This window comes from Homo sapiens, chromosome 1, assembly GCF_000001405.40.
Source record: "Homo sapiens chromosome 1, GRCh38.p14 Primary Assembly".
Taxonomy (NCBI): Eukaryota; Metazoa; Chordata; class Mammalia; order Primates; family Hominidae; genus Homo; species Homo sapiens.
Window position 1 is genome coordinate 231,706,061 of NC_000001.11, and position 15,852 is coordinate 231,721,912.

At 40.6% G+C, this 15,852-nt stretch overlaps 1 protein-coding gene and 1 long non-coding RNA gene across 29 annotated transcripts in view; both read left to right on the forward strand.

Moving 5' to 3' along the window:
* Window positions 1–15,852, forward strand: part of TSNAX-DISC1 (TSNAX-DISC1 readthrough (NMD candidate)) — a 512,620-nt gene that overhangs the window by 177,408 nt on the left and 319,360 nt on the right. The gene's annotated exons all lie outside the window — the stretch shown is intronic.
* Window positions 1–15,852, forward strand: part of DISC1 (DISC1 scaffold protein) — a 414,483-nt gene that overhangs the window by 79,271 nt on the left and 319,360 nt on the right. Inside the window, exon 4 of one of the 22 annotated variants that reach the window (NM_001164552.2) lies at window positions 14,788–14,864. The exons of 20 other annotated variants lie outside the window; for them this stretch is intronic. In NM_001164552.2, the coding sequence (NP_001158024.1) occupies window positions 14,788–14,834 (47 nt within the window). In that variant the 3' untranslated portion in view covers window positions 14,835–14,864. Of the gene's footprint in view, window positions 1–14,787; window positions 14,865–14,886; window positions 15,013–15,852 lie in introns of all 22 variants that reach the window. One more of the 22 variants, NM_001164550.2, reaches the window with a different exon arrangement.

A 15,852-nucleotide genomic window follows, 5' to 3' on the forward strand; every position in this document is an offset into this window, starting at 1 on the left:
CTAATGCCTTGTGGGAAAACCTTCTCAGGCTCTAATTACATCTCTCCATCACTAGGGAAGTAAAGTTAATATTTCCTTATATTCTTGCATAAGGTGGGAGGGCTTGGGAGAAAAAGAATAAGGCTTTCATTAATAGCATTTACATAGCGTCCTTCTCCAAGAGGATTCATTAGATTCATTGCATTAATGCCTATCCCGTGCTTATGGTCAGGTGAGGGGCAAGTTTGAGACCTCAGAGTCCTGCAGAGAGAGGAACTGTGGTCAGTACTGGAGATAAGGATTCCAGCTCTGACATGGGTGGGGCAGAGAAAAGGTGGGCGTGGGCAACAAGTTTCTATGTGGTTACTGTTCTAGTTGTTCCTGCACCTGTTTGTGCTCCATAATATCCCCCTGGCTGCTCGTGTCCCATGTCCACCAGTGACCATGCTCACTTCCACTTCCGATGTGAGCAAGGAGAGATTGTGAAAAGGAAGGAACACAATTTTGGGAACTCAGCATTTCAGTGACTTATATCAATGTGACATATAGAGCAGCTGGCTTCACTCTGCTTGTTTAGAATTTCCTTTTTGGAGTAAAAGTAGCCAGCATCATATTACTTTCTCTATCCTTTGTCTCAACTCATATCCATTATGACAGAACTCTAGTATAATAAACATTTATATACAATGACAGACATTGAAAGAAAAATGATGGTGGCAGAGGCCAAGCATAAAAACACTCTAGGGTGAGTCTTTTGTCTAAATTACCATAATGTCCCTTTGTCTGAATTATGTCTTGAGCAAGATTTCTCTATCCTCAGTTTCTCGTCACTGATGGTGTGCAAATTACCCAACCAGATACCCCTTTCCTTCACAGGGAACCTGCCTTACACCTCCCATAGGGTTTGGTGTCTCAGTGGCTTCCAGGAGCCTGGCAGTTAGAACCAGAATCCCTGCCACATAAGCGTTGATGTGACTGAACACAGCACAACCCCAGAGATTTCCTTTTCCCTGCGTTTCATTCCAGTCTAGAAAGAAGAAAACAAGATTGAATAGAATCGGCCATTCTTATATCCTCAGGACTGCCAGAATCAATGGGATGTGGATGCCATCTGGGGGCCCATGGAACATAAATGCTTTTCTTGGCAGCCTGTATCATTTTGCTTTCTGACTTAAAAAGTGGACTGCAATTGAAATCTGCTCAGAGAGACAGGTCCAGCAAAACTGTCACTTTATAATGTCTGCACAGAAAAAAAGCAAACATGACCACCAGTGCAATTTCCACCTGCAGCTCCCTTGAACAAGGCACTTCTCTCCCTGCCTGCACACCAGGACTTTGGAGTGTTCTTGTCTGTGCTCTATAGAGCTTTCCCTTCCTTTGCTGTGAGATCTGCTTGCTATATCACCTTGTCCTGGTATACTAACAAAATCTGCTGATTAAAACCCAAATCAACAGCACAAATCTCAAGTATGTGTCATGAGACTCACTACATCCTTAGCACCTATGAAAAATGCCAACACTTAGACCTGCAAACACAAATGGGAAATGCTCAAAGTCACCATTGGCTATGATCTCTGCCCTTAATTTACAGAATTGTAAATTCTCCTGCAAACAAGAAAAGAAGCTAAGATAGTGCAACCAAGTAAAAGAAATGCATTTTATGTTTCCTCTTTTTATGATATGTTTGTTTTATTAGATAGCTGCTGCTCTGGTGCCAATCATAACATCAAAAGACACAATCCTGAATGCCATCATCCTGAATGTTGAAATCTCCCAAAATTAAATCCCTAAAACCCCAAATTCCTAAAGTCTAAATCCCTAAAGTCTAAAATCCCTAACATCTGCAATCCTGAAAAATCACAGTCCTGAAAGATTAAAATCCCACATGCTGGAATTCTGAAAACCAAATGTGGGGAAAGGATTTAGTGAGTTTTCAGTTGTGTCATGTTAGTTGCATCATGGTAGGTGGAACTATTACCTTTTTATTGTCTTTATTTGGAAATTAGGTATGGTTTAAGAAGATGCATATAGGTGCCCAGCTGACAAGGGGTGGACTTGTGGACTTAATTTTAAGTGTCAACTTGATTGGATTAAGGAATACCTTGAAACCTGGTAAAGCATTATTTTGGGTGTTTCTTTGAGGGTATTTCCGCGGAGATTAGTATGAGTCTGCGTGTACTAGGTAGGGAAGATCTGTGTTTAATGTTGGCAGGCACCATCCAATTGTCAAGGGCCCAGAGAAAACAAATGTAGAAGGCAAACTGGTCTCTCTCTGAGAAATGAGACAGACTTTTTCCTGACTCCATGGACATCAGAAATTTGACTGCATGAAAGTGCATTATAACAACGTTGACTTTGTGTGTAAGCACTGTGCGTATACATAACAATGTTGGGATTTCCTCAATAGATGAAGAGATGTTTGGACATCGGCATTTGTGAAAAATAAAATTTCTTGAGATCTCTGCTCTCTGGGTGGCTGCATACGACCCCCTTTGCAGGTCTGTTCCATGGTGGGCACATTCTCATTCGTTGCCTGATTACATCACGTGATTACTGTGGGAAGAATTGTCACTATCATTGGTTTTCAATTGAGGTCACGGAATCTGCTGAGAGGGAGGACCAGCTGTGTGCTCTGGCCACTCTGTCAATTTGTCTCCCATCCCTACTGGGTCTAGAGCATTTTGTGTCCCACTGTGGAAGACTGAGCTTTGTAGACAGTTGAGGACAAAACTTAGCTAGGAAGTTTCTGACTTCTGGAAGCTCTTATTTACATGACAGTGAGGAAAGGAACAGATGAGCGCTCTACACTTGGAGGTAGCAGGAAAATTTTCCACAATTTTATCTAAAAAATTAGTCTATTTTTATCTAAAAAACAAATGCTAATTAGGAAATTAGCTCTTGTGTTAATCTTCAGCATTGTTCTCAGAAGAGCATAAGCTTGTATATCTGCTTCCTCTTACTTTAAGTAAAAACTTAAAAATTGGGAGATGGGCTATACATTAAGACAAAAATACCATAGGAAGAGAATATGAACAAAATGTCATTTATTTAGTTTGGTTGCATTGTCTTAGCTTCTCTTCCTGTTTACAGGAGAATTTACAATTCTGTAAGTTAAAGGTAGAGATCATAGCCAATAGTGACTTTGAGCATTGCCCATTTGTGTTTGCAGGTCTAAGTGTTGGCATTTTTCATGGGTTCTAAGGGTGCATGCAGTGAGTCAAGTGCCACCTACTTGAGATTTTAGCTTTGTGCACAGATGCGAAAGCTTATTGGCACCTGATGTACTTCCCTCTCATTCACAGCATAAAATGTGATTTCACGGTGATGCCTTTTCTCCTTGGCTTTGCATCTGGGTACACGCTTGGCTCTTTCTTAGGTCTTGGTAGGATTTCTTGGAACCCCTGCAGCTCTGGAGGTAGAAGCACAGTGGCATGAACATTCCTTCCTAACTGCCATGTCGTGGTGTGTTTCTCTCTGGGAATGGGACCATGCTGCTTTGCCTTCCCTGCCTATGAGGACATCAGTCTGTCCTATAAGGATCACGTGGAATGTTGTCATGGTGCATTATTCATGATAAACTCTGACAGCTTCAAGGTTAGGTGTGATGCTGAATACAAAACACCAAGCCAAGCCAAAAGAATTTTTTTTCTCTCCTCTATGTCCTCTCCCTAAATGGTTCTTAGTTGAAACTTGTACATGATTTCCTACTAGCTGAGCTGTAGCAGGAAGTTGTGCCAACAGTGGACACATCTTATTCACGTTTTATGCATCTGCCTATGAGAATCTGTAAGAGACACAAGCTGTTCATGTTGTAGAGTCCGGTTGATGAAGCAGAATGTGGTTCAGGAAGTCTCTCTTGCGCTTAGAAGACTGATTTTGAAGCTGCTCTCATAGGTTTTCTGCTTCTTCTGCCCTCTTAGAGTGGCTAGGAGGCTGCCTGGGATTCCAGGTAGGTCTTGGCCCTAAGACCTCAGCTGCTCCATAGAAGGTGGTCAGACAGGATGAGGCAGTGACTTCGATCATCTGGAGCCTCACACCTGTAATCCTAGCACTTTGAAAGGCTAAGGCAGGAGAATTGCTTGAGCCCAGGAGTTTGAGACCAGCCTCGGCAACACTGTGAGGTCCCATCTCTACAAAAAAATGACAAAAACAATTAGCCAAGCACAATGTCATGCACTTGTGTTCCCAGCTACTCGGAAGGTGGAGGTGGGAACACTGTTTTAGCTTGGGAGGCCGAGGCTGCAGTGAGCTATGATTGTGCCACTGCACTGCACTCCTGCCTGGGTACAGAGCAAGACCCTGTCTCAAAAACAAAAACAAACAAACAAACAAACAACTCAATAGAAATGAAAAGGATGTGCTAATGATGAGATGCAAACCCCCAAATTGACATGTACCTTCCCATTACAACAATTTTAGGTCCAAACTATGCATTTGGTGCAAATGGTTGATTTATCCTTAACAGGAAGGATGTCTTAGTCTGCTTGGACTGCCATGGCAAAGTACTACTGACTGTGTGGCTTAAACAATAGAAACTTATTGTCTCACTGCTCTGGAGATTGGAATTCTATGTCAAGTTGTCAGTAGGGTTGGTCTCTTCTGAGGCCTGTCTCTTTGGCTTGTAGACAGCTATTTTCTCCTTGTGTCTTCACACAGTCTTCCCTCTGTATGCATTGGTGCCTTAATCTCTTTTTATAAGGACACCAGTCATATTGGAATAGGATGCATCCTTGTGACCTCATTGAAACTGAATGGACCTCTTTAAAGGTCCAGTCTCCAAATACAATTAAATTCTGAGGTCCTGGGGGTTAGAACTCCAACATATGAATATTGCAGGGGGATATAATTTAGCCCAAAACAGGAAGCCTAAAGGGCTCAGGACAGAGCTAAATACTAAACACATTCAGGTATTTCCACAAAATTTGAATAATTTAGTTTGACTATCTGTGGTCATTGTGGTCATATGTAGACATTTGATTGAAACTTTTTTTTTTTTAAAGCAGACTTTTTGACACAAGTAAGTTGATTCTTCCCACAAGTGAACTTAGCTGTTTTTCACATTTTGTTTTATTGCAGAGCCTGGCTCTTAGGCCAGTATATCATGGTATCCCTTCACACAAACAACTATCTACTGAATATCTGCCAGATTTACCATGCCATGGTGGACAAACTATGCATAAAAAAATAGCCCACCACCAAGGAGTATACAGCCTAGTTGGAATAAAACATAAATAGTACAAATATGTGAAACTTCAGCTACCATTAGAATTGATTTTTTTTTTAGAATTGATGTTTATTTTTGTATGAGGACATATTTCTTTTTTTTTTTTTTTTTTTTTGAGACAGAGTCTTGCTCTGTTGCCCAGGTGGAGTGCGGTGGCGTGATCTTGGCTCACTGCAAGCTCCGCCTCCCGGGTTCATGCCACTCTCCTGCCTCAGCCTCCCAAGTAGCTGGGACTACAGGTGCATGCTGCCATGCCTGGCTAATTTTTTTTTTTTTTGGTATTTTTAATAGAGACGGGGTTTCACCGTGTTAGCCAGGACAGTCTCAATCTCCTGACCTCGTGATCCACCGACCTTGGCTTCCCAAAGTGCTGAGATTACAGGCGTGAGCCACCACACCCGGCCATGAGGACATATTTCAATAGGCAGAGACACAAATTAACCTAGTACCAGCTGAAAAGAGGACTTATGATCTGGTGTGACCAGAGGTGGCAAGAGTGATCAGAACTAACATGTTCTTCACTTTTTTCTCTGTATTGTGGCTTATTCTTTCAAACCTCTTGTTTTAGTTATTTATTGCTGCATGTGGTAGGCTGAATGATACCCATCCCTCCCCAAAGATACCCACATCCTACTCCTTGGAACCTGTAAATGTTACCATATTTGGAAAAGGGGCCCTGCAGATGTGATTGAATTAGAGACCTTGATGAGGGCATCATCCCAGATTATCTGAGGTGGGTCCTATATGACATCAGATCATGTCTGAGAGACGCAGTGGGAGATTGGACCAATTGAAGAGGAGGTGGTGATGTGACCACAGAGGCAGGGATTGGAGTGGTAGCTCCAAGCTAAGGAATTCCAGCAGCCACTGGAAGCTGGAAGAGACAAGGACAGGATTTTCCCCAAGAATGTTGGGAGGGAATACAGTCTGTCAATACCTTGATTTTAGCTCAGTAAAACTGATTTCAGACTTCTGGCTTCTAAAACTATGAGAGAATAAATTTATGTTGTTTTAAGCCTGTAAGTTTGTGGTAATTAGTTATAGCAGCCACATCCAATTTATATACGGCATAACCACCAAAAAACTTAAAGCAGTGTCAAAGAGTTACGTTAGCAAAATGGTAGAGTTTGCAGCTCCAACTTTGTTTCCCCACAGAAACATCAAAAAACAAACAGAAACCATTAGAACAAACATGATCAGAACTCTGGAAAATAGGCAAAAGTTTAAGCAACCAAGCAAACACTGAATAAAGAAAAAGGCCACTTGAAAATGGTGGGAAACTTTGTAGCATTTTTATTTGCTCTTGTCCCAGCCTTCTCTCTAGCAAGACAGTTCTCTTGATGATGACAGCCTTCATTCCCAGTGTAGGACCCTGGTCCCTGATTACAGAGGGACTAGAGAAGACCTTACTTATTGTGGATGTCTGTTCTAACCTGTCTGGGGGCTACGTTAAGTACTGACATAGGCATGTATCTCTGCTTAGCCTAACTTAGAACATAGGCTGGAAAAATGGCAGGCATTGCTTGCAAATGCTCAAAGTGAGCTAACAAACTGCAAAAACCTGGGGCAAAAGATTACTGGTTGAGGTGTACAATAGACCATCTAAAGTCCAGGTGCAAAAGCTGGAAGAGATTCTGTGGGAAATTAGGACATTCAAAAGCACCATGTATACAGGAAAATGTAGAAATCCATGCATATACTTGGGGCAAGATGCATGCTCAGAAAAGAGGAGAGAAGACCCTAAGCTTTCATTTCAGGCTGATCCTTGAGTTAAGTGTAAGGTTGGGTAAGTATTGTAGGAGTTCCCCAGCACAGAGCCAATCTGCAAAGACTGGGAAAGGAAGTTTGGAAAAGTATCTACAAATGGACTATTATAGCCATCAAAAATAAAAAACAGCAAACCCTGGGGAAGGGTGAGAGTCCGATAGCCAGAGTTTACATTATAATATTTAAGTGCCCAATGTTCAACAAAATATCACAAGGCATACAAAGGAAACGAGAACACATGGCCCATTCAAAGAGGCAAAATAAGTGGACAGAAACTATCCCTGAGAAAGCCCAGCCATCAAATTTATTAGACAAATACTTTAAAATGATTGTCTTAATGATGTCCGAAGAACTAAAAGAAAACATGGACAAAGAACTAATGGAAACCAGAAAAACAGTGTATGAACAAAATGAGAAATAAAGTGATAGAAATTATAAAAATTGATCAAACAGAAATTCTGAAGCTGGAAACTGAAAGCTGAAATGAAGAATTTACTAGAGGGTTAGACAGAAGATTTGAGCAGGCAGAAGAAAGAATCAGTGGACTTGAAGATACTACAATGGAAATTATTGAGTTTAAAGAGCAGAACGCAAAAGTAACGAAGAGAAGTAAAGAGAACTGAAGGGACCTCTAGGACATCATGAAGCAGATATATATATATATATATAGGAGATATATATATATATATATATAGGAGATATATACATATATATAGGAGATATATATATAGGAGATATATATATAGGAGATATATATATAGGAGATATATATATATAGGAGATATATATATAGGAGAGATATATATAGGAGATATATATATATATAGGAGATATATATATATCTGCTTTCACTGTTGTTATTCAACATTGCACTGCAAGTTATAGTCAGAGCAAAATAGATAAAAGGCATCATAATGGAAGGGAACAAGTAAAATTATCTCTATTTGCGATTGACATTATCCTATATGTAGAAAATCTTAAAGAATCCACAAGAAAGCTGCTAGAGCTAATGAACAAATTCTATAAAGTTTTAGGTGTGAAAGTCAGTCATGTTTTTATCTACCTGGAATGAGCAATCCCAAATGGAAAATAAGAAATAATTCTATTTATAATAGCATTTAAAATAATAAAATACTTGGAAATAAATATAACCAAAGAAGTGAAAGACTTTTACATTAAAACATGTAAAATAGATTTTACCTTGAAACATGTAAATAGAGTTTACACTGAAAAATGGAAAATAGCCCAGAAATACACCCATATATCTGTGTCCAGTTGATTTTTGACAAGGGGTGCCATGTCCATTCAATGGGAGAAAATAGTTCTTTCAACTGATGGTGCTGGGGCAACTGGATTTTCACATCCAAAGAATAAAGTTGGACTCTTGTCTCACACCTTAAACAAAGTTTAACTCCAAACTGTGCAATGATTATGGATAAAAGTTTGGTGGTTCTTCAAAAAGAGAAACATAGAATCACCATATGATTCAGCAATTCTACTCACAGATATGTATGAAACAGAGACAGAGAGAAAGAGACAGAGAGATGGAGATGGGGGAGAGAGACAGAAAGAGAGAAGAGAGAGAAACAGAGAGAGAGGAGAGAGAGAGAAAGAGATAGAGAAAGAGACAAGGAGAGACAGGCAGAGAAGAGAGACAGAAAGAGAGAGATAGGGATTGAGAGAGAGAGAAAGATATAGGGAGAGAGAGAGAGAGAGAGACAGAAGGAGATGGAGGAGTCTCTTTCACACATATGCACATACACAGTATGCTGGAGGAAGCTCTATCATCTTTTATGAATCTATCTTAAGAAATTATGTTGTTACTTCCACCACATGGATTCATTTGAAACAAGTCATCAAAGTTGTCCCATCTTCAAGGGGAGAAGAATTAGACCATTTTTTTGATGGAAGAATGTCAAAGAACTTGTGGGCATATTTTAAAATGATCACACCACTTTATTCCATGTGGCAATTGAAGACTTTTGAATTAACAACACACGACTAGAGAAGAAAAAGAGACTTCCCCTCTTGGATCCAGTATGAAAACCTTCAGGAAAGGATTGGGTTAGGTGCTGACTCCTTGGACCAATGACCATAACCAAAGGGATGAGGTACTGTAATTAGCCAAGCCTGGCTACCTGTCTGTCTCTGTGATGAGGTGGGTACATCTGTTAGGAGAAGATGGGGGAACTGGTGCAGTGCAGATAAAAATAGTAGCTAGTATGCTTATTGCCTAGTGAAACATGCACACACGAAGCAATTAGGAATGATTGAGAGCAGCATATGAATTTAAAAATGAGGGATGTTAAAAATGCATAAAGAAGATTAAAATGAAAACACTCCTTACAGAGTTCATTCATTTGGTCAATACAGTCATTTCCATCCCAAAACCTGGTCTTACATGTTAGCTTGAAGGTGCCTCTTGCAACAGATTTTCCAGAGACTTTTGTCTGATCTTTACTGGGACCAAAGTAACCTTTGATTGTCTCTGACTGTGGCTGTTTTTCCGGGAGCTTTATGTGCTGGGCTCAGGAAAAGTTCAACCCATCAATAGGTTATCACATATATATACTCTGGGACTGATTGGACCACATTTTCTCACTGAATTGACTGATTGATGAATTCAGTTGGCAGAATTAACTCTTCTATGTCTACATGAAGTGCCATTTAGAAATAATCAACTCTTAATCAGCCTGGGATAGTCAGTACTAAAAGCACCTTCATGAGCTGTGAAAAATTTAATGCATTTATTTACATATTTAGTTTTAAATTTTAGTATATTGTTAGTTGAGGTATAGTTTCCAAACAAAGAGCCGTGAAATGTTTAGTAACTGTCTCTGTACCTCTGGATGAGGACAGCTCAGCCGGGAATGGAGGGGGACTGGGTGAGGAGACCAGAATGTCAGTGTGGCCACGCAGCACACTTTTGTTTTGTCTTCTGTCCTTGAGCACTGGCTTGTTCCTGGATAAACTAGGCATAATAATACCTATCCTGCTGTGTGGGTGGAAGGTTAAATGTGATAATGATGTGTGTGAGATGCCTGCACAGTGCCTGGAGGTATTGAAGAATTATTTGCTGCCTTTTCTTTTTCTACCTACCACTTACCCGCTACCCCCGGGTGCTACATGTTAGAAAACACTGTGTAAAGTGTGGATGCTTCTGAAAAATCTCCCTGCCAGCAGTTAGTGCCAATAGCGTGCAGAAAATAAGATGCAATGATTTGGCTTCTTTTCTGTTTGGCAATAAGAAGCTTATTTGCACATAGCCTGATTTCTTTCAATCTGCAAAAAAAAAAAAAAAAAAAAAAAATTGGAAATGAAGTAAAGCAATATATATTAAAACATGCAAATTATAAAGAAGCATTTAAAGCTTGACTACTCTTCACATTGTCGTATGGCAAACTATTTTTTTTATCTGCAGTCTAAATTTCATGACCTAGAATCTCTCGTTTTCTGCCTGATGCTTTGTTGCATGACATTGGATGACATTGAGAAAATGAAATTGAAACCCTGCTTGGGCTTTGAAAGAACTGGCAATCCTGCTTTTAAGAGTGGAAGGAAAAAAAATGGAAAGGGAAGGAGGAAAATGGGACATACATGGAATACTAAAGACAAGACTGAAGAAAGAGAGGTTGAAAGCTCTCTCTCTTCTGATTATGTTTCTGTGGGTCTCTACTGTTTTGTGGCCTTCACCCTCATGGGCAGAGAAGGCTAAGGTGTAATTCTCAGGTAACCATTTAATCTTTCCATTTAAAATGGTCATTTACAAACATGGAGTCCATTTCCTTTGCATAATGGCAACGAGATGGCGCCTGTGCTCCTTCGTGGAATTCCTTGCTCTGGGTGATGGACTGGACAGCTAATTTGTTTTTATAAAGTGTCTGGGCACTTAATTAAATCTTGCATCCTGTCTAATAAAAAATCAATATCAAATCCACTACCAACACGTTCTGGATGGCAGAGAGGCATGCCAGAAGAAAATCTTGAGTGGCGGTTCCTTCCAGATTTAGCAAGCTCTGCAGTTTGTGTTTGGCTGTTCTCTCATCCTGTTGCTTGGCCCAGCTCCTATTCCTAAGTCAATGAGGGCTTCAAAGCATGGTGTGAATGCATCAGCTGCTCTAGAGGTCCTGTCTTTGGGAGATGAATTGTGGCCCATTAAAAAAAAGTTCTCTAGGGAAATGTGAATAAGTTTCCTGCAAGTCTCGGAAATAAAAACCTTTATGGTATATAAATATTTGAAGGTTAACAAGGTCTTCAGTTGGAGGAAGGCAGGCCCTTGGCAGAACCAAAGGGCATCTCACGAGTGGGTAGAAAGTTATAGGAGGGATTGGTCTTTTCTGCTTTGGTGTTGGTAGTGGTAGCTGGGGGTCTCTAGGCTGATTGTGTATGATCTGGAGTCTGGAGCCTTGCTACAGTTTGAACTGGTCAGAAAAGCCAAGGCCCGCCTCCCTCTGCTGACTCTGTCTCACTGAGCCATAGGCGTGGGGTCCTGCATTGGCCATTTCAGTTTTGCTTGTTGATGAGGAAAGGTAGATCAAGTGGGTCAAGGTGGCAAGGGTCATGTATTCAGAGTAGGGACTGAGTGGAGTTGGAAAATAAGCAGCAGTGAAGAAGAGAGATCACTCCAGCAATCTTCTCACTGCCAAAAGTCTCCAGGTCCCATAGACTGAGCACCATTCAATAATTCTATGTGTTGTATGAACGCATCAGACAATTCCACAACCTCCTTACTTCATTTGCCTGCTTGTCATAGTGCGAGAATTGCTTTCATTGTCCATTTGTTTCTTGACAGTCAAATCTCTTCATTAATAAAAAAAAGACTTGAATTCATGGCACCATTTTATTTTCCAATACTATTGTATAGAATGTCCAAACTAAGATCTAAAGACTATCTTTTTCCCACCATCCCTCTAGAAGTTCCTGATCTTTGTTATATCTCAGCCCAGCTCCTCTTGCCATATCCCCTATTACAATGAATGGCAAGTCAAGCAGAAAAAAGCCTGTGGGTCATTGTGGACTTTCAGCTCTCCCGGGACATGAGCCACTACACCTTTTCGATTTTATCTCTTAAGTATCTCTTCCTTCTGTCCTTTGATCTCGTAAGTGTTGTCTGGACACACGCACTCGCCTCTTAATGGGTCCTTGGTTTCTATTTTCATCCCCCTCCAAAGCATCCTTCGATCATCCTTCAATCCCTTTCCAATCATCCTTCATGTTGTAACCAGTCTTCTTTCTAAAACTCATTTACAATTGCTTTTCTACTTCATCTCTCTGCGTGACTAATGTCACTATCAGGACAAATGTTAAATATGGCCTGCCATAACCAGCTTCTTGCCCTGGCCCTTGCTTAGCTTTCTAACTTCATTTCTTGCCATTCCTTCCCCACTTCAAGCAACTTTCTCTCTCTTTTTTTTTTTTTTTTTGAGTTGCAGTTTTGCTCTTGTTGCCCAGGCTGGAGTGCAATGGTGCAATCTTGGCTCACCACAAACTCCGTCTCCCGGGTTCAAGCGATTATCCTGCCTCAGCCTCCCGAGTAGCTGGGATTACAGGCATGTGCCACCACACCTGGCAAATTTTCTATTTTTAGTAGAGACGGGGTTTCTCCATGTTGGCCAGGCTGGTCTCGAACTCCTGACCTCAGGTCATCTGCCCGCCTCGGCCTCCCAAAGGGCTGAGATTACAGGCATGAGCCACCGCACCTGGCTGCAACTTTCTCTTTAGTCCCTTGGTAGTTCCCGAAGGCATACTGCCTTGTCCACTGTTTAGTACCTCTGCCTGCACTTACCACCTCCTTCTCCTACTAGGTCATCCAGACTTGGTTTCTGGTTGGTCATGGTGTGGCTCATGCCACAATCCTAGCTTTTTAGAAGGCTGAGGTGGAAGGACTTGAGGCCAGGAGTTGTAGACCAGCCTGGGCAAATAGCAGGACCCCATGTCTATAAAATTTAGCCAGACATGGTTCTGTGCATCAATAGACTCAGCTACATGGGAGGCTGAGGCTGGAGGATTGTTTAAGCCCAGGAGGTCGAGGCTGCAGTGAGCTATGATCACACCACTGCACTCCAGCCTGGGTGACAGAGCAAGACCCTGTCTCCAAAAAAACAAAAAAGACTTGGTTTCAGTGCCCCTTCTTTTGAGTGCTTGGTATATTCTCTATCCTCATACATATTGTGTTTTAGCATAGCTATTGGCTGTCCTCTTGGCTAAACTGTTAGCCTCCTAGGGAAAGAAAGAGACCCTATTCATTTTTACTCTTTATCCCCAGAACTTAGCATAGTGCTTGGTCAAAGTAGCCTCTCAAGAAGTGGTTGTTGGATGAACAAGTGAATTCATCTTATTATCACTTATCATCTTATTATCATTGTTACATTATTAATAGCTGATAATTCTACTAACAATAGAATTATAAAGCATTAGCGCTTTTCAGGTCAACCTTGTTAAAAACCTGACTGCAAAGTTCAATTCTGCCATTTGCTAGCTGTATAAGCTTGGACAAATTATTCTTTCTAAGCTTTATTTTTTCTATCTATAAAATGGGATAATAGGGTTGTTTGGAGAATTAAATGAGATGGTGCATGCTAAATATTTGGGTTATGTATCATTCAGAATGAATGTTTGTTAAATTATACTCACTGGTAAAATATTTAGGTATTTTAGATCTGCTAGAGATAGGCTTTTTAATCTCTTTGTGTTTTTTTGTTCAAATGTATTTGCGAACTGATTATTTTCTTAGATAATCATTTTCTTAGATAACCTTAGCGCACCTAATTTGATGCCTGTTGAGAGTAGAGAGAAACCAAAAAGCTCACAGCAGAAGGACTTTTTCATATGTCACAGTAGACAAACAAAGTTATTTTCCGTCACAGCCATGTATTGGGTGGAATGACCTTTAGTAGCTGATGACAGCGATGTAGCAGAAGGGACAGTTTTCCACTTGACCTTTATACAATGTGCCAGCTTGTCTCATAACACAAAATAAGTTGCAATTGACAGGCTTGATAGAACACTAACCCGACAGGAGACAGACACTGAAGCAGCCCCTGTTTGCTACCGAGCGTGGCAACTTCCATATACCCAAGGGTGCCTTAGGGATGACTACTCCCTAAGTCATGGCCAGAACATTTAGTGTAATTAGTTCCTCTAGGAGTTTATTGTGAGGTGAGATTTGCTCATAATGAATTTTCATTGCCAAGGACTTGGTTACTCGCAGGTACCCCACTATAGTCTTTTGACTTTTCTGTCTTTGTAAGCTGTCTTCCTCTCCTCTTTGCTCTTTGCTTTTACCATAGGATGTTTTCTTCTTTACTCTTTTTAATTTTTTTTCTTTAAGACAGGGTCTCGCTTTGTTGTCCAGCTGGGGTGCAGTGGCATGATCATAGCTCACTGCTGCCTCAAATTCCTGGGCTTAGGCGATCCTCCTGCCTCAGCCTCTCAAGAAGCTGGGATTACAGGTGCATGCCACCACACTTGGCTAATTTTAAAAATTTTTTATAAAGACGGGGTCTCACTATGTTGCACAGGCTGGTCTTGAATGCCTGGCCTCAAGCGATCCTCCCACTTCGGCCTCTCAAAGTGCTGGGATTACAGGTGTGAGCTGCTGCACTCGGCCTCTTCTCAGCTTTTCTAATGCTTCATTTTTGCCGTTCCCTAACTTGACTACTTTTAGTTTTCTACCACTGGGTGATTTTTTTCCCTTGGGGCTTTCTGCATGAGGGCTAAAATGTGAAGTTCTTAAGTTTGTTCCTTCTCCCAGATAGTCACAGGGCAGAAGTGGTTCTGAGCAGCAGGTAGGAAACGTGTTGTCGTTTCGTTTACAGGTTTGTTGGAGGAAGTTGCTACCAGTCATCTCACTTTGCATACCTAGTTCTGACATTGACTGCATTAATAACCACAGGTAATTTACTTTACCTCTGCAGGAAGTCACTGGAAGGGTTACATTTTCATTTGGGGTGAACAGCAACTGTGGATACGGATCATGAAAATTGACAATGGAAAATGGGCATGCCATTCTGGAACTTTTCCCAGCTTTTTTCCAGAGCCAGGTCTGTCCTGATGTGAGAAATGATGTCCTCATCTGCCAAATGAGTACAATAACATTAGCTCTACCTACCTTGCTGGGCTGATGAAAGAAACAGAGGAAATAATACATATAAAAACTGTGCTGATTGAAAGGAGCTATGTCAACATATTAATTCAGGCTGTCCCTGGTTGGAGTATTGTGGATAATGTTATCTGCTTTTTATTCTTTTCCACACTACAGATGAGAAAAAAAAAGAAAAAAAGTTTTTAGGAGAGAAAAAATTAGAAGAAAATGTTTAAAAATACTCTCTGGAAAGTTAGAATTCTAATAAAATCCTTAGTACCACAGTTGAGGATTTGGCTTCATGCTCCAAGTAAGTAAATCTGGCTGAGATTAATATTTGATGCATATTTATGAAATCAGATATATCAAAACTGTATCAAAAGATATAAATCTTTTATTTTTCTTAAAGACCTTATACAATGAAATGTTCATTTATATCATATGGACTTGGGGCAGCAACAAAAACTTGGCAACCTGGGGTTGCTGATATTTACAGCTGTTCAACATTTTTTGGATCCATGTATTCTCTTCAGAACACCAGAAGGCTGTGCTTTTCAAATTGTGTTCTGAGGAGCCTCAGAGATGCCTTAGGGAAGGCTGAAAGGGAAGCTTCATCCAGAGTACTTTGGTTTCCATCTGTTATTAGTCCAGTAAGATTTCATCTCAAAAAGGGCTCTGTTGCTAAAAAAAAGAAAAAGAAAAACAAACAATGAAAAAAAATCAAGAAGTAAACAAAAATTCTTGAAAAGCACTGCCTTGGCTGGGCACGGTGGCTCACGCCTGGAATCCCAGCACTTTG